At 36.2% G+C, this 19,331-nt stretch overlaps 1 protein-coding gene and 1 pseudogene across 9 annotated transcripts in view; one reads left to right on the forward strand and one right to left on the reverse strand.

Moving 5' to 3' along the window:
• Positions 1-358: 358 nt before the first annotated feature.
• The window catches only part of KLHL8 (kelch like family member 8), an 80,429-nt gene continuing 61,456 nt past the window's right edge, over positions 359-19,331 (reverse strand). For all 9 annotated transcript variants that reach the window (NR_120447.2, XM_047416014.1, XM_047416012.1 and 6 more), the window contains 6 exons: positions 18,733-18,876; positions 17,013-17,124; positions 10,703-10,871; positions 10,335-10,494; positions 4,134-4,335; positions 359-3,898 (listed from right to left, as the gene is read on the reverse strand). Coding sequence is in view for 8 of the 9 variants with exons in the window: in XM_047416014.1 (XP_047271970.1) it covers positions 3,775-3,898; positions 4,134-4,335; positions 10,335-10,494; positions 10,703-10,871; positions 17,013-17,124; positions 18,733-18,876 (911 nt within the window). In the remaining variant the exon portion in view is untranslated. The remainder of the gene's footprint in view (positions 3,899-4,133; positions 4,336-10,334; positions 10,495-10,702; positions 10,872-17,012; positions 17,125-18,732; positions 18,877-19,331) is intronic.
• Positions 7,102-8,187, forward strand: LOC100419572 (uracil DNA glycosylase pseudogene; annotated as a pseudogene).

Here is a 19,331-nt window from a genome sequence, read left to right on the forward strand (position 1 = left end):
TTTTTAAAAAGCTACAACTTTGCAAGGTTTCTACTTGGAAGGACAACAGTCATCCTAATGCATAGTCTCATTTCTATATAGTACAAGTCTGCAATTACTGAAGAGACAACTGCTTAAGATCAGTGAAACTACTTACATCAGTTACCTTCAACCTTTAATTTTCATAAGGGAAAACGAAAAGCTTTCTAAAATTTTCAGTTAAACATAAAGATCCTTCATATAAGGAGAAAAATATAGCCAACCTACTCAATTTTGTATTTGAGGAATGGAGAATAAACAATTACACAGTTTTGACAGGATCCCATAACAGCAATCAAATAATGATGAGAAGCAGTTACACAGACCTTTTAGAGAGAAGTTTGTGCTAATAGAAATATGCAATGTATTTTAATTAAATAAATAGCACTGATGTGACCCCAACTTTTTGATATCCATAGTTGGTGATATATATGACCACTTATTACATTGATTTTCTGGAGTATTATAACACAAATTTATAAATGGTTTTAAGAAAATATTATAGAGAAGTTTTACTGACACTTGGAATTTTACATGAAGGGGAAAGAGACATAGCCAATGGCATCCCAGTAATAATTTCTTTACACATCTGATACGAGAAACCACAGAAACATTCTTAACTGATACAACATGAATTAGATTCTAAAGGCATTCTTTAAGACATAGAGAAAAAAGAAACAAAGAAAATTCTCAAGTTTACCATTTACAAGAATAGTTTATGCAATTTCAAGAAGTCCTTACCAAGGCATTCAACAGCACTGTAAGTTCAAAGTTCATTTGGGAATTAAAAGAATGAATAAAATACTCCTTAGAGGGAGTACAAAGTTTATTCAAACATTTTAGAAATAATCAATTAATTACATAAGTATATAGTGAAATCTGTCAAAAACAATGTCAAGTAACTTGTTTTTAAAGTGGCAACGCAATATAGTAAAGCAATGGCTTTAATGACTAAATGAAAGAATCACAAAGCACCTAGAAATATTTATTGAAGAAATAATAAACAAATTTTCATGATTTATTTTGTCCATTTGCAATTTCAGTATTTTAGCTCTATCTCATATCATTTTTTGGTAGGTGCTGTTAACATATGAGGTTAAAGTGGTAAGTCTCACAATAAAGTAGCCATCTTCTTTGAATATTTCATCTCTTCATTTCTATGAATATAATCATCTTTCAGCTGCATGATTCCTTCAGCCTGATTCTCATTTCATGTCTCAATAAACGTGTTTTTGCCTGATAAAGAGAACTGTGCACATATTGATTCTGCTTTTTTATCTTTTTTTTTTTTTTTTTTTTGAGATGGAGTTTCACTCTTGTTTCACCGCTGGAGTGCGATGGCTCAACCTCGGCTCATTGCAACCTCCACCTCCTGGGTTCAAGCAATTCTCCTGCCTCAGCCTCCTGAGTAGCTGGAATTACAGGTATGCGCCACCACGCCTGGCTAATTTTTGTACTTTTAGTAGAGACAGGGTTTCACCATGTTGGTCAGGCTGGTCTTGAACACCTGATCTCAGGTGGTCCACCCACCTCGGCCTCCCAAAGTGCTGGGATCACAGGCGTGAGCCACCATGCCTGGCCTATTTATCTTTTCATACTGCTGTCAGGTCCTTCAAGGCTATGCTTCTGATTGCCCACACACTTTACTTCTGAGTATTTCATATTTTACGGGTAGGTAGGGTACCAACTTAGTATGTTAGATAACCATTGTATAGTAAAAACCAGAAATGAAAATATAATAACCCTTATAACTCCTTACATATAAGAAAGACAGAAATACATCAAAGAAAAAACATTTTAAATAATCTCAGGAAACAATAACAAGATCCTCTCCCCGAAAATAAATATAACAAACATATTAGTAACCATAGCTAAACAAACACTGTAATATAAGAACTCCATTAGACATAAGAAATAGACATTGAAGCCAGGTTTTGACACTTATTCTCCACATCCAGCCAGTTGTCACCAGTCTAGTAAGTGCTACAGGGTTAACTGCCTCTGGACTGACTGAAATATGGTTGTACTTACACAAAAGAACACTGGTTCAGATCCAGCAATGACTTATGAACTTGCCCATAGGTAGAAAAAAATAGCTTACTGGATTTATATCTGCTTCATAAGAGACTTTTATCTGCCAGCCTGACCCCTCTTAAAACTTTTTTTTTTCTTTTTTGGTTTGATATACTCAATAGGCACTGGCTTTTTTTTGTGATGTGGCTTTTTTTGTGATGTGGCTTTCCACACTATTGTAGAAGTCCAGAATCCCATTTAATAAGATGCATGAGCTATTAGTCAATGAACTTTAGGGCTGGATGGATCAACGAAGTGTTTTTCACTGCCCCAGCTTCCTTATGAACCAGATTACTGACCAGCGGTGAACTACAATAAATTCGAAGACACAACTAACAAAAACTTAGGAAGGCCTGGAAGAGAGGTGCCAAACTGCACTGCAAATACAAAATAAAATATTTTCATGTTCTTGATAAATATTTATAAAAAAATATACATATAATGAATAGGCCATTTTATAATGCTAGTTAAAACTTTGAAGAGCTGTTAAATCTGTAGGTCCATCAATATCCTGGCTTCAAATCAATATGTAGAAATATTTTTAATTAAATTTCAATAAATACACCAGAGGGATTTAAATATGATAAAAACAGTAATTTCAATCTCTGTTTTTACCAACAATATGTTTAATTAGTTCGTGATGGGCTTGAACTAATCAATAAACTACAGTCTACAAAAAGGTTTTTGTAAAAATGCATTCATTTCTGATAATAAATAAATGCAGATTGATTCTGTACAGTCAGAAAAACCAGGATGGTGGCAAATAGCAAAATAGAGAGATGATAAATCTTGGATCCAAAATCAAATGATCAAAGAAGACAGTTAAAGATATTTTCAGACTGCCCACATTAGAGTCATGTAATCTGCATCATTCTTTCTCAAGGTCTCTCAATTGGGCACCAGAATAACATCAGATCTAAAACCTTGTTCAATATTTCCTCTGGTTCACCTTTTGATTATGTAACAAATACTTTTTGCAAAAGATGAAAAAATAAAACTGTAAAATCATTTGGATGGAGTTAGCCCAGCTAGGTCTTTTGGTGTCCTAGCAATTCAAACTGAAATTAAAGGCTTCTTATAGCCTATAAGCTTCTGAAAATGCAGCTAAGTGGCATTCAAAAAGACAGAACATTTTTTCTACTTCCGTAAATATAAAAGAAATTGAAAAATCACCACCTAGAAAAAAAAAGCTAGGCATAAATTCATCAGCACCAAGTAGAAATGATCTTCAAAAGGGGCAAGTCTCTTATGTATCCTTGTGTTAATGAATAGGTACTAATCTCTCCTCTAGGAAAAACCCACTGCCTGACGTTAACATCTTTAGGCAAAAGAAAAGGCAAAACTCAACAAATTACATTTTGATTCATCCAAATAGAGAGAGAGAGAGAGATTTCAAGATTTTTGGCACTACTTTAAGCATTTTTCAGGGTAGGTATGATTTTAAGTTCGACTATCTTCTTCCCTACTCCATTATTTGCAAAAGCAGGAAGTATCAAATTTAACTCTATTACTAATAATTCTTCAGGTATCATTCCAAAAGTTGTACTTAGTCACAATACAACAGTTAACATTTAAATAAGACTCTAGTTGCAGTAAAAAGTGTTGAAAGGTGGTCATATCAAAATCTTGGTTTTCTTTTGTACCTATCAGATATGACTAAATTGTTGGTGGCCAGAACTCAAATCACATACAGTCAACCACATTATTGGATCCATGACCTACATCTCGAATTTGGCTAGTTAAACAGGAACACACAGCTACTCCTGCTCCAGCTCTGCAGTGAGACACAGATCCAACAAGCTCCCACCTGAAAAGACGGAGAAGAAAAAATGTTACAAAGCATAATTTACTTTACTCAAAATACTAACCAAAGACAAAAATTCCCTATGTGAGACTGGTTTTGTAGGACAGCAAGCTTCCAGTGGGAGATAAGATATCCCAAAGCTTAGTATTAACTACGACTAGCAACATTTTAACACTCTGAAGTAATCTACTATTATACCAGAAGATAATATAAAGCACGGAGACAACATGTAAATTACCTATTCAGCACTGGATCAAACGCTTCTACTGTATTTAAGTATGCATTGCCATTATGACCACCAACTGCAAAGATTTTGCCCATCACTGTTGCGATTCCCACTCCACCTCTGGGAGTAGTAAGTGCTGCCACATAATCCCACTTGTTGCTTCGGGGGTCATACCGCTCAACTGAACTCAGAGGAGAATTATCATCAAAACCACCTATGTAAAGAAATATTTTAAAAACAGCATTACATTCCTTAGAAATTAACTACTAAATTTCAATTCAATGGCTTTTACAACCCAATCTTTTAAAATCATTTTAGAATGGTTTAGAGAAAATTTTTTTAAAAAATTCATCCCAATACCTGTCTACCACCACCAACAACTACCATTAGATGTTGTCTACAATTCCACGTTAGGTAAGTGACATTTTCCTCAATACTAGGATTAAAGATCTTGTAAGTAGGAAAAAAATGGAGTCCCTGTATCTAAGCAGATAATTCAGAGAAAAAGAAAAAAAAAACACAAACATTCATAAATTTGTCCTTAGCCGTCTAGAGACAAGCAAGACAGTACTGAGATTCCTTCTCTGTGTATTATATCTTAAACAGTAAGAAGGCATAAGAAAGGAATAAACTGAATCATGATTCATCCAGATAAAAGTTAAAGTTTTCCAATTGTTTCCCTTAATACTATAATCGCCATCATAATTACAGAAATGGTGGACTATGACTGAATTCTCACCAATTTTTGTCATAACAACATTTTCCTCCTACATATTCCAGAAGATAGCAGTCCTTTCTATAGCTCATTCTAGCAATGTACTTAATCTGTTCCTGAGGTTATAGAGACTGTTATTTCAACAGTGCTCCTTCCTTTAAAAACAAGTGTCTCTTTTTGAGCTCCAAGTCTAAATGAATATAATAGCTTTCTTTGGTGACAGCCTAATTTACTGAGAATAGAAAGTATTGATATTATGATCAATCTATATAAAAACAAGGTCAGAGGCCGGGCGCGGTGGCTCACGCCTGTAATCCCAGCACTTTGGGAGGCCAAGGGGGGCCGATCACGAGGTCAGGAGATCGAGACCATCCTGGCTAACACGGTGAAACCCCGTCTCTACTAAAAATACAAAAAAATTAGCTGGGCATGGTGGCGGGCGCCTGTAGTCCCAGCTACTCGGGAGGCTGAGGCAGGACAATGGCGTGAACCTGGGAGGCGGACGCTTGCAGTGAGCCGAGATTGTGCCACTGCACTCCAGCCTGGGCGACAGAGCAAGACTCTGTCTCAAAAAAAAAAAAAAAAAAAAAAAAGGTCAGAAAAAAAAATTCAAGTCAACCTCTCTAATGGGTTTAATTTTATTAAATCAATTAAAATGAAATTCACCAATTTTATCTGCATTCTTTCCATGAATTCTGACAAATGTATAGTGTCATTACCATTACAACCATTATATAAAACATTTTTTCATTATAATAAAGGGTTTGGTTTTAATTATTGCTCATGCTAATGTAGATTAAGGGTTTTTTTAAATTTTTGTTTTGTTTTGTTTTGAGACAGGGTCTGACTGTTGCCCAGACTGAAGTGCAGTAACACAATCACAGCTCACTGCACTCTCAACCTCCTGGGCTCAAGCGATCCTCCCACCTCAGCCTCCTAAGTAGCTGGAACTATAGGCATATGCCACCACTCCTGGCTAATTTTTTTTTTTTTTAAATAGAGATGAGGTCTCAACTATGTTGCTCAGTCTGGTTTTGAACTCCTGGCCTCAAGTGATCCTCCTGCCTCAGCCTCCCAAAGTGCTGGGATTACAGGGGTAATCCCTGCACCTGGCCAAGTTTTTGATAGCTATATTTTCCATAGTCTTCTTTTTCACTAGTTCCCTATCATTTCCCCAGATAATGCATAAAAATGTATTATAACAAAGAATTCAAACCAGGGATAGAAAAAGCAAAATGCAATTAGGATGTTAGACATGCCCACACCTTCAATTTTTTCTTATTCAAATCAGTTGTACCTGTTTTAAGTAGAACCTGAATGACCAAGAAGATTTTTTTAATGTTCAACCTGAATCATTCTTATTTTTACCATGTCTATTCTAATTATAAGGGTCCAAAAGATTTAAAAAGTAACAGCAACAATGTTATTCCTGTCGACATATAACACATGTCAATGCCTGTGGTAGACAGGGAGCTGTGAGAGGTAGCAATGATGTAACATAAGAACTTTGGATTCACAGATCCAAGTTCAAATTCCAGCTTTGCCACTTATTTATGCATGTGAACATGAGTAAATTATTCATTCTCTCTGAGTCTCTTGACTACATTACAGAGCTGTTGTGATAATCAGGCAAGATGTAGAGGTAAATTATGTTACTTCCCCTCTTCTTTAATACACATGAGCACTGAAAGATTCAGCATTACTTCTGCTACTTATAAGAGAATGCTGTATTGTTAGCATATAAATATCTATAAGAAATATGTTAAGTAACACAAACAATTTACATCAACATATATAAGCAAATGTGACCTTTGCTAGTGACAACCTCTCTGAATTCATTTCCTCCTCTATAAAGGAAGGTATTACTAATCACAATATAGCTAATCATGTACTGGGGAACTACAAAGTGCCGGAAACACTTTGAGATGCTTAACATGTATTATCTCTTATTCTTAAAATGATTCTGAAAGATAGACATTATTCCCGTTTCATAATCATTTAAAGCCTTGCTACTGGAAGTGTGTTGTGTGAACCTGAAACTGCATCACTATAACTTGAGAACTGTTTGAAACACAGAAACTAGGCCCCTCCTTTGCAATATAACAAGATCTCCAGATTATTCATATGCACATTATGGTCTGAGAAATCACTGATCTAATGTTCCTCCCAACTCTGCAATTCAGTAAGTCAAAAAGCAATATAGATCAATTACTGAACACTACAGCCAGGGCAAGCCTTGCAGTCCCCAAGTGGTGTGCATTCGTTCCCACAGCCCCACCAGGAAGCAACGTGCCTGCAGCCCTGAGCCGGATGACCTGGGGACCAGCAGGGCAGCCATGGTGAGGAGAGTGAGGATGCGGGGGCCGCTCCTGCCAAGAAGGCCCCGGCCAGATAAGACAAGCCCAAGACGCTGCCCTTCTTGCTGCTGGGCAGTTGGTCAGTATCCAGAGCAACGAGGCTGTGGCCCTACTCAAGACTCATGGCCTGTAACATGTCCATGGGCTTTGGTGAGAGTTGGAAGAAGCACCTCAATGGAATTCGGGAAACGTTATTTTATCAAGATAAAAGGATTTGTCGCAGAAGAAAGGAAACATTACACTGTTTATCCACCCCCACACTAAGTCTTCACCTGGACCCAGATGTGTGACATAAGAGATGTGAAGGTTGTCATCCCAGGACAGGACCCATATTAGAGACCGAATCAAGTTCATGGGCTGCTTTAGTGTTCAAAGACCTGTTCCACCTCTGCCTGGTTTGGAAAACATTTATAAAGAGCCATCTACAGATATGGTTTTATTCATCCTGGTCATGGAGATTTATCTGGGTGGGCCAAATAAGGTGTTCTCCTACTCCAGGCTGTCCTCACTGTTCTGCCCCATCAAGCCAATTTTCATAAGGAAAGAGGAGGCTGGGAGCAATTTACCAATGCGGTTGTGTCCTGGCTAAATCAGAACTCGAATGGCCTTGTCTTTCTGCTCTGGGGCTGTTATGCTAAGAAGAAGGGCAGTGCCATCCACAGGAAGCAGCACCATGTGCTGCAGATGGCTCATTCCTTCCCGTGTACAGAGGGTTCTTTGGATGTAGACAATTTTCTAAGACCAATGAGCTCCTGCAGATGTCTAGCAAGAAGCCCACTGACTGGAAGGAGCTATGATCCTGAGCTGAGGAGTAGTCTGTCTCCATTGGTGGTTATTGGGAAGCTGTTGTTAAAGTATTTGTCACTTACAAAATCAAACTGAAAAATTTCCTATTAATTCTTAAATACTCTGCATAAGGGGTAAAGCTTCCATAAAGCAGCCATGAACCAGGTTGCCCAGAAATGGCAGCTTTATATAGCCACACATAGCAAAGACTATCCTTTGGCCAAATGTCTCTACAACATGGCTTCAGCCTAAAATATGCTAACTTCTCAGAAGACAGATGAAGTCAAATGCTCACTTGGCTCTCTTTACCCCACACCCCGCCCCCCGCCTTACCTTTATGGTTAAAGGGGGAAGATATATACCCTTTAGGTAGAACCATAGTTTGATGCCTGCTGTTACTTGGTTTTGCCTAGTTAGACTTTCAACTACAAGGTATTTTAGGGGGTGTTTTTGTGTAGAAAGGCCCCCTTTTCCCAGCCTGGCAGGCATTCCAGTCTCTGCCAAGTACACTTATACTCCCTTGATCTTTCAAGGGGCCTTCAGGTCCTTCCTTGAGGGAACTATGAGGGTTTTGCAGGTTTCTAGAAATCTGGCCGTGAAATTAGGGCTCAATTTTCTGATTGTAGTAAAGGTGAAGACTCCTAAGGAACAGCGCTTGGTGTTGGCCTTAACAGACAGACAAGGGCTGAGGGATGTGAACTGAGTCTTGTTATTCTTTCGGCGTTTTGTGGAATAAGCAGTGAAATTTAGACAAGAAAGAATAGAAAAGAGAATTCTTCTTTAATGGGGGGAGGTGATTTTCTCCTAGGGTTATCCTGAGTTGGGGTTTTTAAGATAGCACAAACTGCTGCATGCTGTTTTTTATGGACTGAAATCAATTTATAATATTTTTTTCTGCAACACTGGAGATTTTTATTTTTTAAAAGATATATATATGTATATATATGTGTGTATATATGTGTGTATATATATACGTATATATATGTGTATATATATACGTATATATATGTGTGTATATATACGTGTATATATGTGTGTGTATATATATGTGTATATATATACGTATATATACACACATATATATACACACACATATATATATATCCTTCTTTTTTAAGACACAATCTTTATTGGGTCTGTACCTTCATCCTTGATCTTGTTAGCAATGCCTTTTTTTGCTGTTAGGTGGGTTAAAGCGTTAAACCTGCATGGGGTTTGGTAATAAAAGATTGTTAAAGTAAAAAAAAAAAAAAAAGCAATATAAACATTGACATGACCTTTATTTATATGAAATACCTAGGCCAGGTGTGGTGGCTCATGCCTGTAATCCCAGCACTTTGGGAGGCCAAGGCAGGAAGATCACTTGAGGTCAGGAGTTCAAGATCAGCCTGGCAAACACGATGAAACCCTGTCTTTACTAAAAATACAAAAATTAGCTGGGCACGGTAGCACACACCTGTAATCCCAGTTACTCAGAAGGCTGAGGCAGGAGAATTGCTTGAACATGTGTGGCAGAGGTTGCAGTGAGCTGAGATCATACCACTGCACTCCAGCCTGGGTGACAGAGCAAAACTCTATCTCAAAAATAAATAAATAAATACCTACTGGCTTACTTGAAGTATTCAACATAATTTCCCTTGAAATGAGGTTGAGAAAAACAAATCTGAGACCTTTTAAAATTTATTGTAGCAAAGCACATTCAATCTGTGTCCTTCCATTTAAAAACATATACCTTATTTAAATGTAATCCCCTTCTTTAAATAAATTTGTTACTCTTAGAAAAATAAGGCTGTACATGTTTTAAACATGAAAGATGAAGATTTAAACAAAAATTATGAATGTGACCTTAACAATTCAGCTAGGCATGATGGCCCATGCCTGTAATCCCAGCACTCTGGGAGGGCAAGGCAGGAGGATCACCTAAGGCCAGTTGTTCATGACCAGCCTGGGCAACACAGCAAGAACCCATCTCTACAAAAAACAGAAAAAAACTGGCTGGGTGTGATAGCCTGGGCCTCTAGTCCTAGCTACTTGAGAGGCTTGAGGCAGGAGGATCATGTGAGCCCAGGAGTTCAAGGCTGCAGTGAGCTACGATTGTGCCACCGCACTTCAGCCTGGGCAACAGAAAGACACTGTCTCCCTCTGAAAAAAAAAAAAACAAAGAATTCAAAAGCATCAGACTGAACATGTACAATTCTCTGTTAATTATAAACAAAATTTTGTAAGAAAGAATTCAAAAGCACATTTCAGGACCGATTCTACTTAAGGCTAAATGCAATGTAATTTTTGTTACTCTGTTATATGACACTTGTCATTGTATATACTGATATATTAGAGAAATACCCATTTACTCACCAACTACGTATAAGCAACCATGAAGCTTGCTAACTCCATTGCCTGCTCTTCGCTGACCCATTTCTTTAACTTCTATCCACTTATCCAGATGTGGATCATATCTCTCCACGCTAGATAAAGAAGCCATTCCATCATTGCCACCTACTGCATAAACATGGTTCTAAATGAAGAGAGTCAAACAAAACACATTAGATTTCGAATTTATTTATATATTGTTTTAATGGTAAATTAGAATGTACAAGGCAGTATTTCAGGAAATAATATGATATATAATATCTTCATACTGGTGATGATATATTGGACCTTTCCTTATTTTGGTTATGAATGTAATGCAATGTAATTTAATGACAAGTTGCCATATAACTTACTACTAGAGCAACAGAGCCAACTCCTCCACGGGGAGTATTCATTGGTGCCACTGTACTCCACTGATCAGATTCTATGTCATATCTCTCCACATCATTGAAGCAAGTATTGTCATCTAACCCTCCAATTGCATAAATTGGGCCTCCTAAGGAAGCCAAGGCAATTCCTCGCCTGCAAAGACAATAAAACATACTTTAGCAAATGAGTTTGTTTCCAGGAAAAAAAGTCATATAAAAAATTGTGCTAATGCAAATCATTTATCATGTTAACCTTCAAACAGTATAGTTTGTTTCCATTATTTTTAGATCTATCAAAGCTTTTGACTAGATGGCTACAGAATTGCCAAACTGTGCAACTCTATGTGAATACTGCCCCCTGAAGTTGTACAGTGCATAGCCTACACAGGCTACTTTAAACTCAAAACAATAAAATATAACCCAACAAAATAGTATAAAAGAGTTCAAAATATTCAATTAGTGCACACACAGCGGCATAACTGAGAGGTTAATGAGTTGACAGAGAAGTTCTGCAGCGGAGGTCAGAAGCCAATCTCACTTACAAATCCATGCAATTACAGAGCTCATTTTGTTGCAGGGTTTCATTATACCACACAAAAGAGTATTAAATTTTATATTACAAGTTTTATGTCACGTTGCTTTATTTCTGAAGCGTATTTATTTCTCTCTAAAAGTAAGAGACTTAGCCCATGTTAAAAGCTGATTTAACAGTGATCAAAAAAAAAACTCAATTTCTTAAAAAACACACTGCACCAATCAAAAGTTGAACTATTATCAAACTATTATTTTGTCACTAGCTTGGATAATTTATAAACCTCTACTATCTTGTGTCTCATCTGAGACATAGATGGATATTAATGAGTTAATACATGTAAAGCACTAAGAACAATGTCTGGCCCATATTTAGTTCTATGAAGTATTAGCTTTTATTATTATTGGAGAAAGCAGCTGCTTCACTGAGATTCTAACTCTAAATTTACCAGAGAGTATCCAACAAAAGAATTCTTAAGGATAATGTTATCATTCACTTTCAAGCTCCTCAACCTCTTTTCTCTTGGGTATAAAGCTATGACTTACCAAATACTGTGCTGATAAAAATGTTCAGGTGTGTGAGAACAAGTACATGTGTTCTCTAGAATGTAACGATGTTAGGTCAGGGAAATAAAGTAAGTATGCCTCATAATTGTCCCTCCCCTTAAAGGACAAAAGCAGACAACATCATTGGCTTATTTCCTACTCCTCAAAACTCTCTTGGTTTTCATAACATCATACGTTTTAGTCCACTCCTACGTCTCTGGCTAGTGCTTTTCAGCTTCATCAGTGCCTTCTTTACTCCATCATTAAATTATAAAGTTCCCTAAGGGTCACTCTACACTTTCTCTCCCTAAGCATATCCCATTCTTTCCACAGATTTGTGATAATTCAAATATATATTTTCAGACATATACCCAATTTCTACCTCAAATATGTCTTGCTGGCTCTTCAACCTTAACTTTAATCTGAAATGAAACTCACTGCCCACCTCGCTGTGGTAGGCAGAATTTTAAGATACTCCTCATCCCCCATGACCTTCATCCCCTGGTGTTACTCTCATGACTATGCTACATTATATGGCAAAAGGGAGGTGACCTTGGCGGGCCTAATCTAATCAAACAAACCTTCAAAAGCAGAGAGGTTTCTCCAGCTGATTGTCAGAAATTCAAAAAACCAAGTGAATGCAGTGTGCCATTGCTTGTTTGAAGGTGGGGGGGAACATGTGGGAAGGATCTGGCAGTGACTTGTAGCCAACAGCCAATAAAAATGAGAAACAGTCCTATAGCCACAAGGAACTGAATTCTATCAATAACCTAAATGGCCCTGGAAGTGGCTTCTTCCCCAGTGCCTCCAGACAAAAGCCTAGCCCAATCTCTTGATTCTGGCCTTGTGGGACCCTAAGTAGAAAGCCTAGCAAAACCTGCATGACTTTTGAACTGTGAGCTAATAAATGGGTGCTATTTTAAGCTGCTAAATTGGGGGCAATTTGTTACATGGACATAGAAAATTAATACAACCCCATCACAAAACAAACAAAAATTTTATCCCATTCACCATGTTGTTTTCCTAATTCAGAAATCATACCATTATCCATCCAGTTGCTTAAGGCAGAAACCGAAGAATCATCTTTGCCTCTACCTAACTGTTCTTTCTAATTATCATAAAGTGTTTTTGACCATACACCTCTGAACTATCTTTCAAATATGTCCTCTTTTCTCTATCTCAATTTCTATCAGTATAGTCTAAGCCACCATTATTTCTTTACATCAAGGGATGAAGAATTACAATAACCCTTTTTGGTCTGTCAGACTGTTTTCACTCTGGTCATCCTCAAATCCCTTCTCCATTTTGAATGCAGAAGTTCTCTGAAAAGAGAAATCTGATCCTACAATTCCCCTATTATTTAAATAAAAATATAAAATGTATATTTACTATACATGCATATTAAATATATATGTTTAATTCAAAGCCCATCAGATAAAATATCCTTGGCAAACTTGAAAGGCCTTCAACCTTTACTTACTCTTTCTGCCTCATTTCTAGACACTCTTCCCCTTAATCTTCCAACTACATTGGACCACTTTCATGCTCTTTGCTCTCTTTCATCGCCTGGTTTTTGAAGGCTCTTCATCTCCCTCCACTTACCACTCTTACCCCACCTATAATAACTTAATCAGGCTAAATTCTGCAGTTCCTTCAGATCATAATAAATGGGACTTCATTAAGATGTTCTCCACTCCTCAAGCACCCTTTACTCACCCCATGCTAATATTATTGCCCTTATGTCATTATTTGTTATCTTCTCTTCTACAATGTAAGCTATACAGAGGCAGAGACACTGGCTATGTTTTCTACTGCTGGTAGCAAAAAACAAAGTTGTATCTTTACCACTTGGTGTGTCTTGTGGTGGGCATTTAAAACTTTTTTTTGAATAAATAAGTGAACCTTTAGACATGCTGTCAGGATGATGGGTTTCAACAGACTCATAGCTTAAACAAACATCGGTGTCCATTTCAGTGGAAAGATGAAATAAAAAAATAAAGATAACCAGATATTTCACATGTGAAAATGTATTGAAATGCCAAAAAGATGATTTGGGGCTATATAAGTTATAAACAAATAATATGACAAAATAATTGTAGCTCTATTATTTTTCACACAGATTGTAAATGCTCGGGGCATATTTTAAAAGATTAAAGAAATTCAATTGCTATTTTGCTAGAGAAGTTTCATTCAATCTTTGGCTAAAAACCAACATAGTAACAGGGATATAAAGATTAAAAAAGTACTTTGGGATTTTATCTCCCATTTTAATCCATGCAGTTATCACATAGTGTAAATCACTCCCTATTAAAGTATTAAAATGTCATTTGTAGACAGTGGGAGATAACAGTTTAAGACTAGCTTTTTTTTTTTCTAGGATTCTTTTTCATGAGGGGAAAAAAAGCTTAAAATGTCTTCACATTTTTTTTTAATCTTTCATATTTTAACACAAGAAGCAAAAACCAGTTGAAAATATTATTAATCAAAAATAGAAAATTAGAGGCAACATATCCCCATGTGTGGTTTAGTTTTTAATTGCTCATTTTGATAACAAGTCATTTTTGCAGAATGGTGCTAATTTGCCAACCATATAAGCCACAATGTCTCAGGTATGGTTTTACTAGTTCAGGTTTGTTTCTTTTAATTAAACTGTGGGTGATACATTTATATATATTAAGGTCAGTATCATTATATATCATATATATGTGTGTATGTGTGTGTGTATATATATATATCACCTGCAAGTTTTTTTTTTTTGAGACGGAATTTTGCTCTTGTCATCCAGACTGGAGTGCAATGGCGCAATCTCGGCTCACTGCAACCTCCACTTCCTGGGTTCAAGCGATTCTCATGCCTTAGCCTCCGCAGCAGCTGGGATTACAGGCACCCGCCACCACGCCCAGCTAATTTTTGTATTTTTAGTAGAGACGGTGTTTTGCCATGTTGGCCAGGCTGGTCTCAAACTCCTGACCTCAGGTGATCCGCCCATCTTGGCCTCCCAAAGTGCTGGGATTACAGGCATGAGCCACCATGCCCGGCCCACCTGCAGTTTTATTAAAAGAAACTCTTCAGCAATATTTTCAATATTTACTAAGATAGCCCTCTTCTCTCTTCTCGCATTATATTTTCACTCTGACACAGAGACAGAATTATTCTAGTATCTAGTTTTATACAAATTATTAAGCTCAGTCTTTGAAATCCTCACGCTATTAACAGAACAATAAAGTTGAAAAAAAATAGGCAATAAAATTTAATCTCCCATTTGGTGCAAAATATATGTGATCTTTCTGACAATACAATTCCAATCACTAGGAGGAATTACAGTATGCTTCATTGCTACTATACTGAATCATAAACAAATATTTATTCCTTCCTACTAAATCAACATACACTCTTAAAATATCTAGTAACTCCTGTAAGTTTTCTTGTCTCCAGATCACAACGCTTCAACTATTTTTTGTAGATAACATGGTTTTCAGTTGTATTACTAACCTGCTAGTTTTTTCTTACATGCATTCCAGATTATCATTCTCACATTTATTACAATCCATTTTTGTGCATTTTCTATAGATCTTATTTTCAAATTATAAACATGTTACTGTACTAACAAGTTATGTTCATTATAAAACATCCACCCAAAATAAATTTTTAAAAATGTACAGAGAGTCTAATCTTTTATTCCCATACCCCAACTGGTGTTATATACCCTACTTCAACAATACATCTATAGATACGGAGAGATCAGTGTCAAGAACAATACAACTATAACTCCCTTAATCTAAGGCTTCACTTCTTTTAATGTAGGCAACTGTATTATATTCACTTTTTTCCTTTCCTTTTTTTTAAGAGCTGTGTTTCATAATGGTTCAGGTACTTTTCTCCATATGAAACAATCAAAAACCTGATTTCCCACCATGTTATGTTGTACTCGTGGGATTGAGTTTTTAAAATACCTAAGGCAGGTTTTAACCTATAACTCTAATTTTAACATTTTTTAGGTTTTTGTCTAGAGTATATGTGGTCTACTCCGTCTTTGGAATCCTGATTTGGTCACATGCCTTAGTGATCTTTCCACCTTAGGATATCTAAAAAGCTGGTATTCAAGTCATTAATGAAAGTGTCAAACAGGTTAGAGTACTAAGTATGTTACTAAAAATCTTCCCTTTAGACTGATACATTAATCAGCATATATTCCAGTTTATGTTGATGAGAATATAAATATTAGAACATAAATATGTAAATGAGAACATAAATATGTAGGTGAGAACTTAAAATATTACTGTTCATCAGGATAAAAATCAATGAAGAAAAGAGAAATTGAGGACTATTTTCTTAACATGATAAAAATATAGATACCTTAGTCCTAAAGTCAGTATCTTATTTAATAGCAAAACACTAGATACTTTTCTAATAAGATCAGGAACAAGACAAAAACACCTACTATCTCTGCCATTATTCACCTGTATTAGATTATTAGGCAATACAATTAGACAAGAAAAATCAGTAAGAAGCATAAGGATGTTTGGGAAAATTGACTCAAAAAGTCTACAGATTAATTAATACTACTGTTCAATGCTAATTTCAGTAACTGCTATGGCTGTGTAACATGTTAACATTATGGGAAGCCAGGTGCAGGGTAGGTGGCAAGGTTTTGCCATCTCAGCACTGGCATTTGGCATTATCTTTGCCACTGGCACTTGGGATTATCTTTGCCACTGGCATTTGGACTAGAAGATTCTTTGCTGTGCATTATAGAATCTTTAGCATCATTTCTGACTTCTTCCCATAGATGCTAGCAGCAATTTTCCCATCCCCAAGCTGTGACAACCAAAAATGTCTTCAGACACTGCCAAGTGTCCCATAGAGGGGACAAAATCATCCTCAGTTGAGAACCACTGGTACACAGAAACTTTAATATTTTTGCAACTTCTCTGAATAAACTAAAATTATCTCAAAATAAAATGTTTAAAAAAATCAATGCTCATGTATAAGTGAAAACTGTGACTACCATATGGTACTCTAAAACATGACTGCATTTTTAATTCTTAAAAAAAATAAAAGGTGTTAACAAAGTATCACTTTGGACATGCTAACAAAATGTGTTTGAGAAGGTATTTAAAGTTTCTAAAGTAGAAAAAAAAGTTTAAAATAAGGCCTTTAAATTTTAAGAAACTTTATTTCCACCATCAGTTCAAAATAACTTTCCATGCTGATCTACCTCTTTGTGTTCATTGATGCCTTCATCATCCATTTATTAGTGAGAGGATCAAACATCTCCATACTCCCTAAATGTTCATTTCCATCATGTCCACCTACTGCATACACTTTACCTGTCAAATAGAGAAGTATTTTCATTTGACTCCAAACAAATAAATTCATATCATTAATGTTACATATATAAACATTATATAATTAAAATATCACCATAAGTTAATTTTCAATAATTGCTGTTCTGTTCAACATTATGATCAATGTCATTTCAGTAGTTGAATGAAAAATCAATGTAAGCTTGCACTAAACATGCTGTTCTACATGAAGTTATTTATTAGTAAATGCTCTAATATTATCGCCCCCCCTTAGGCTTCCCAACTTTTTATTACTTGGTAGATGAAATCACTAATCATGCCTTCAGAGAATGCTTAATAAAATGGAAAAATGCTCTTATTAGGTTATATTTGAAAATATAAAACTGGTGGCTGGGCATGGTGGATCATGCCTGTAATCCCAGCACTTTGGAAGGCTGAGGTGGGCGGATCACCTGAGGTCAGGAGATCAAGACCAACATGGTGAAAGCCCATCTCTACTAAAAATACAAAATATTACCCGGGTGTGGTGGTGGACACCTGTAATCCCAGCTACTTGGGAGGCCGAGGCAGAATTGCCTGAACCTGGGAAGCGGAGGTTATAGTGAGCTGAGGTCGCACCACTGCCTTCTAGCCTGGGCAACAAGAGCGAAACTTCATCTCAAAAAAAACACAAACAAACAAACAAACAAAAACTATATATATATATATAAACTGTGCACACACACACACACACTTACACACATACATATAAAACTGGTTTGTTGTTTGGCTTTTCTTTTTGAGACAGGGTCTTGCTCTGTCACCCAAGCTGGAGTGCAGTGGCGTTATGACTGCTCAATGCAGCCTCAAACTCCTAGGCTCAAGTGATCCTTCCACCTCAGCCTCCCAAGTAGCTGAGACCACAGGCGTGCACCACTATGTCTGGCTAAATTTTTAAATTTTTGTAGAGACAAGATCTTCCTACGTTGCCCAGGCTGGTCTTGAACTCCCAGGCTCAAATGATCCTCCCACCTCAATCTCCATAAAACTGTTAATATGATCAATTTTTTTCCTCAATAAAACAAACAAAAACACACAGAGAAAGATAGGCAAGATTGTACACCAAAATGTCAACTGTGACTACTTCTGGGTGTTTGTGTTGCAAGTGGTTTTCATTTTTTATGAAAATGTTTTTATATTGTTAAAAATTCATTTATACTTTTATAATAAAAAAGTGATCTTTTAGAGTTTTCTGACAATTTATCCATGGTTCTAAAATTAATTCATTTTCAGGAATAAGTAAAAAAAAATTAATTGTACTAATAATCATTAATTTTAATTAGATGGGCATAAAAAAGCTGATATGTAATTATAATTTGAGTTCTATAAACATTTTTCCTTGGTTTAGTTTTTTGGTAACTATAACTCAGAATAGTTTAACTCTTTATATCTCTTTTCTCTGATATTCATCTCCACATTATGCACACTGAGCATCTGTGGGCACAAAGCAAGTAAATTATCACTAACCAAGCATTTTATTTAAAAATAATTTACAATTTAGTCATTTTCTTATATAAAAATAAATTCTCAGAGTTGAAATATTTTAAAAAGAGCATTGTGATCATATGATATTTCAGACAAGAGTGGACCCACCTTCCACAGAGATTACACCCACATGTCGCCTTCGACTATTCATTTCTGGTCCAAAGAACCAACTGTTTTTGTTGATAGAATAGCATTCAATACTGCGAAAGGGGTCACCAGATCCACCTCGACCACCTACACAAAACAGCACACCTAAAGGTAAAGCCACAAAATAGAGATAAATCATAGCTGCCAAGTTGAAAAAAATTAGAAAGCCAAAACTTTGGATAAAAGCAAAAAGACAAAAAAAAGTTATTTGGATAGTATTCAATGTTATTATGTTACTAGAAATCTAATAAAATTTTCTTCTTGTCCCCTCAAAGAATAGGGTATATCAACTATCTCTGCTTGCTAATGTCCCACTACAATATGGTTTATACTCTCACCTACCTTCTAAAATTACTCTTCCTAAGGTCGTAACAAAACCAATCAGCCTCTAAGTTAATTTCTTATTGAACACAATTGCAACATTTGATATGCTGATCATCCCATTTTTTGGGAAACATCTTACTTCCTTGATTTCTATATCAGTCTCCTTTTGTCTCCAATCATCTATTTCCTTCTATGTTTTCCATGTTCCATCCTTAGCCCATTTCTCACATATTTTT

The sequence above is a fragment of the Homo sapiens genome, chromosome 4 (assembly GCF_000001405.40).
Source record: "Homo sapiens chromosome 4, GRCh38.p14 Primary Assembly".
NCBI lineage: Eukaryota > Metazoa > Chordata > Mammalia > Primates > Hominidae > Homo > Homo sapiens.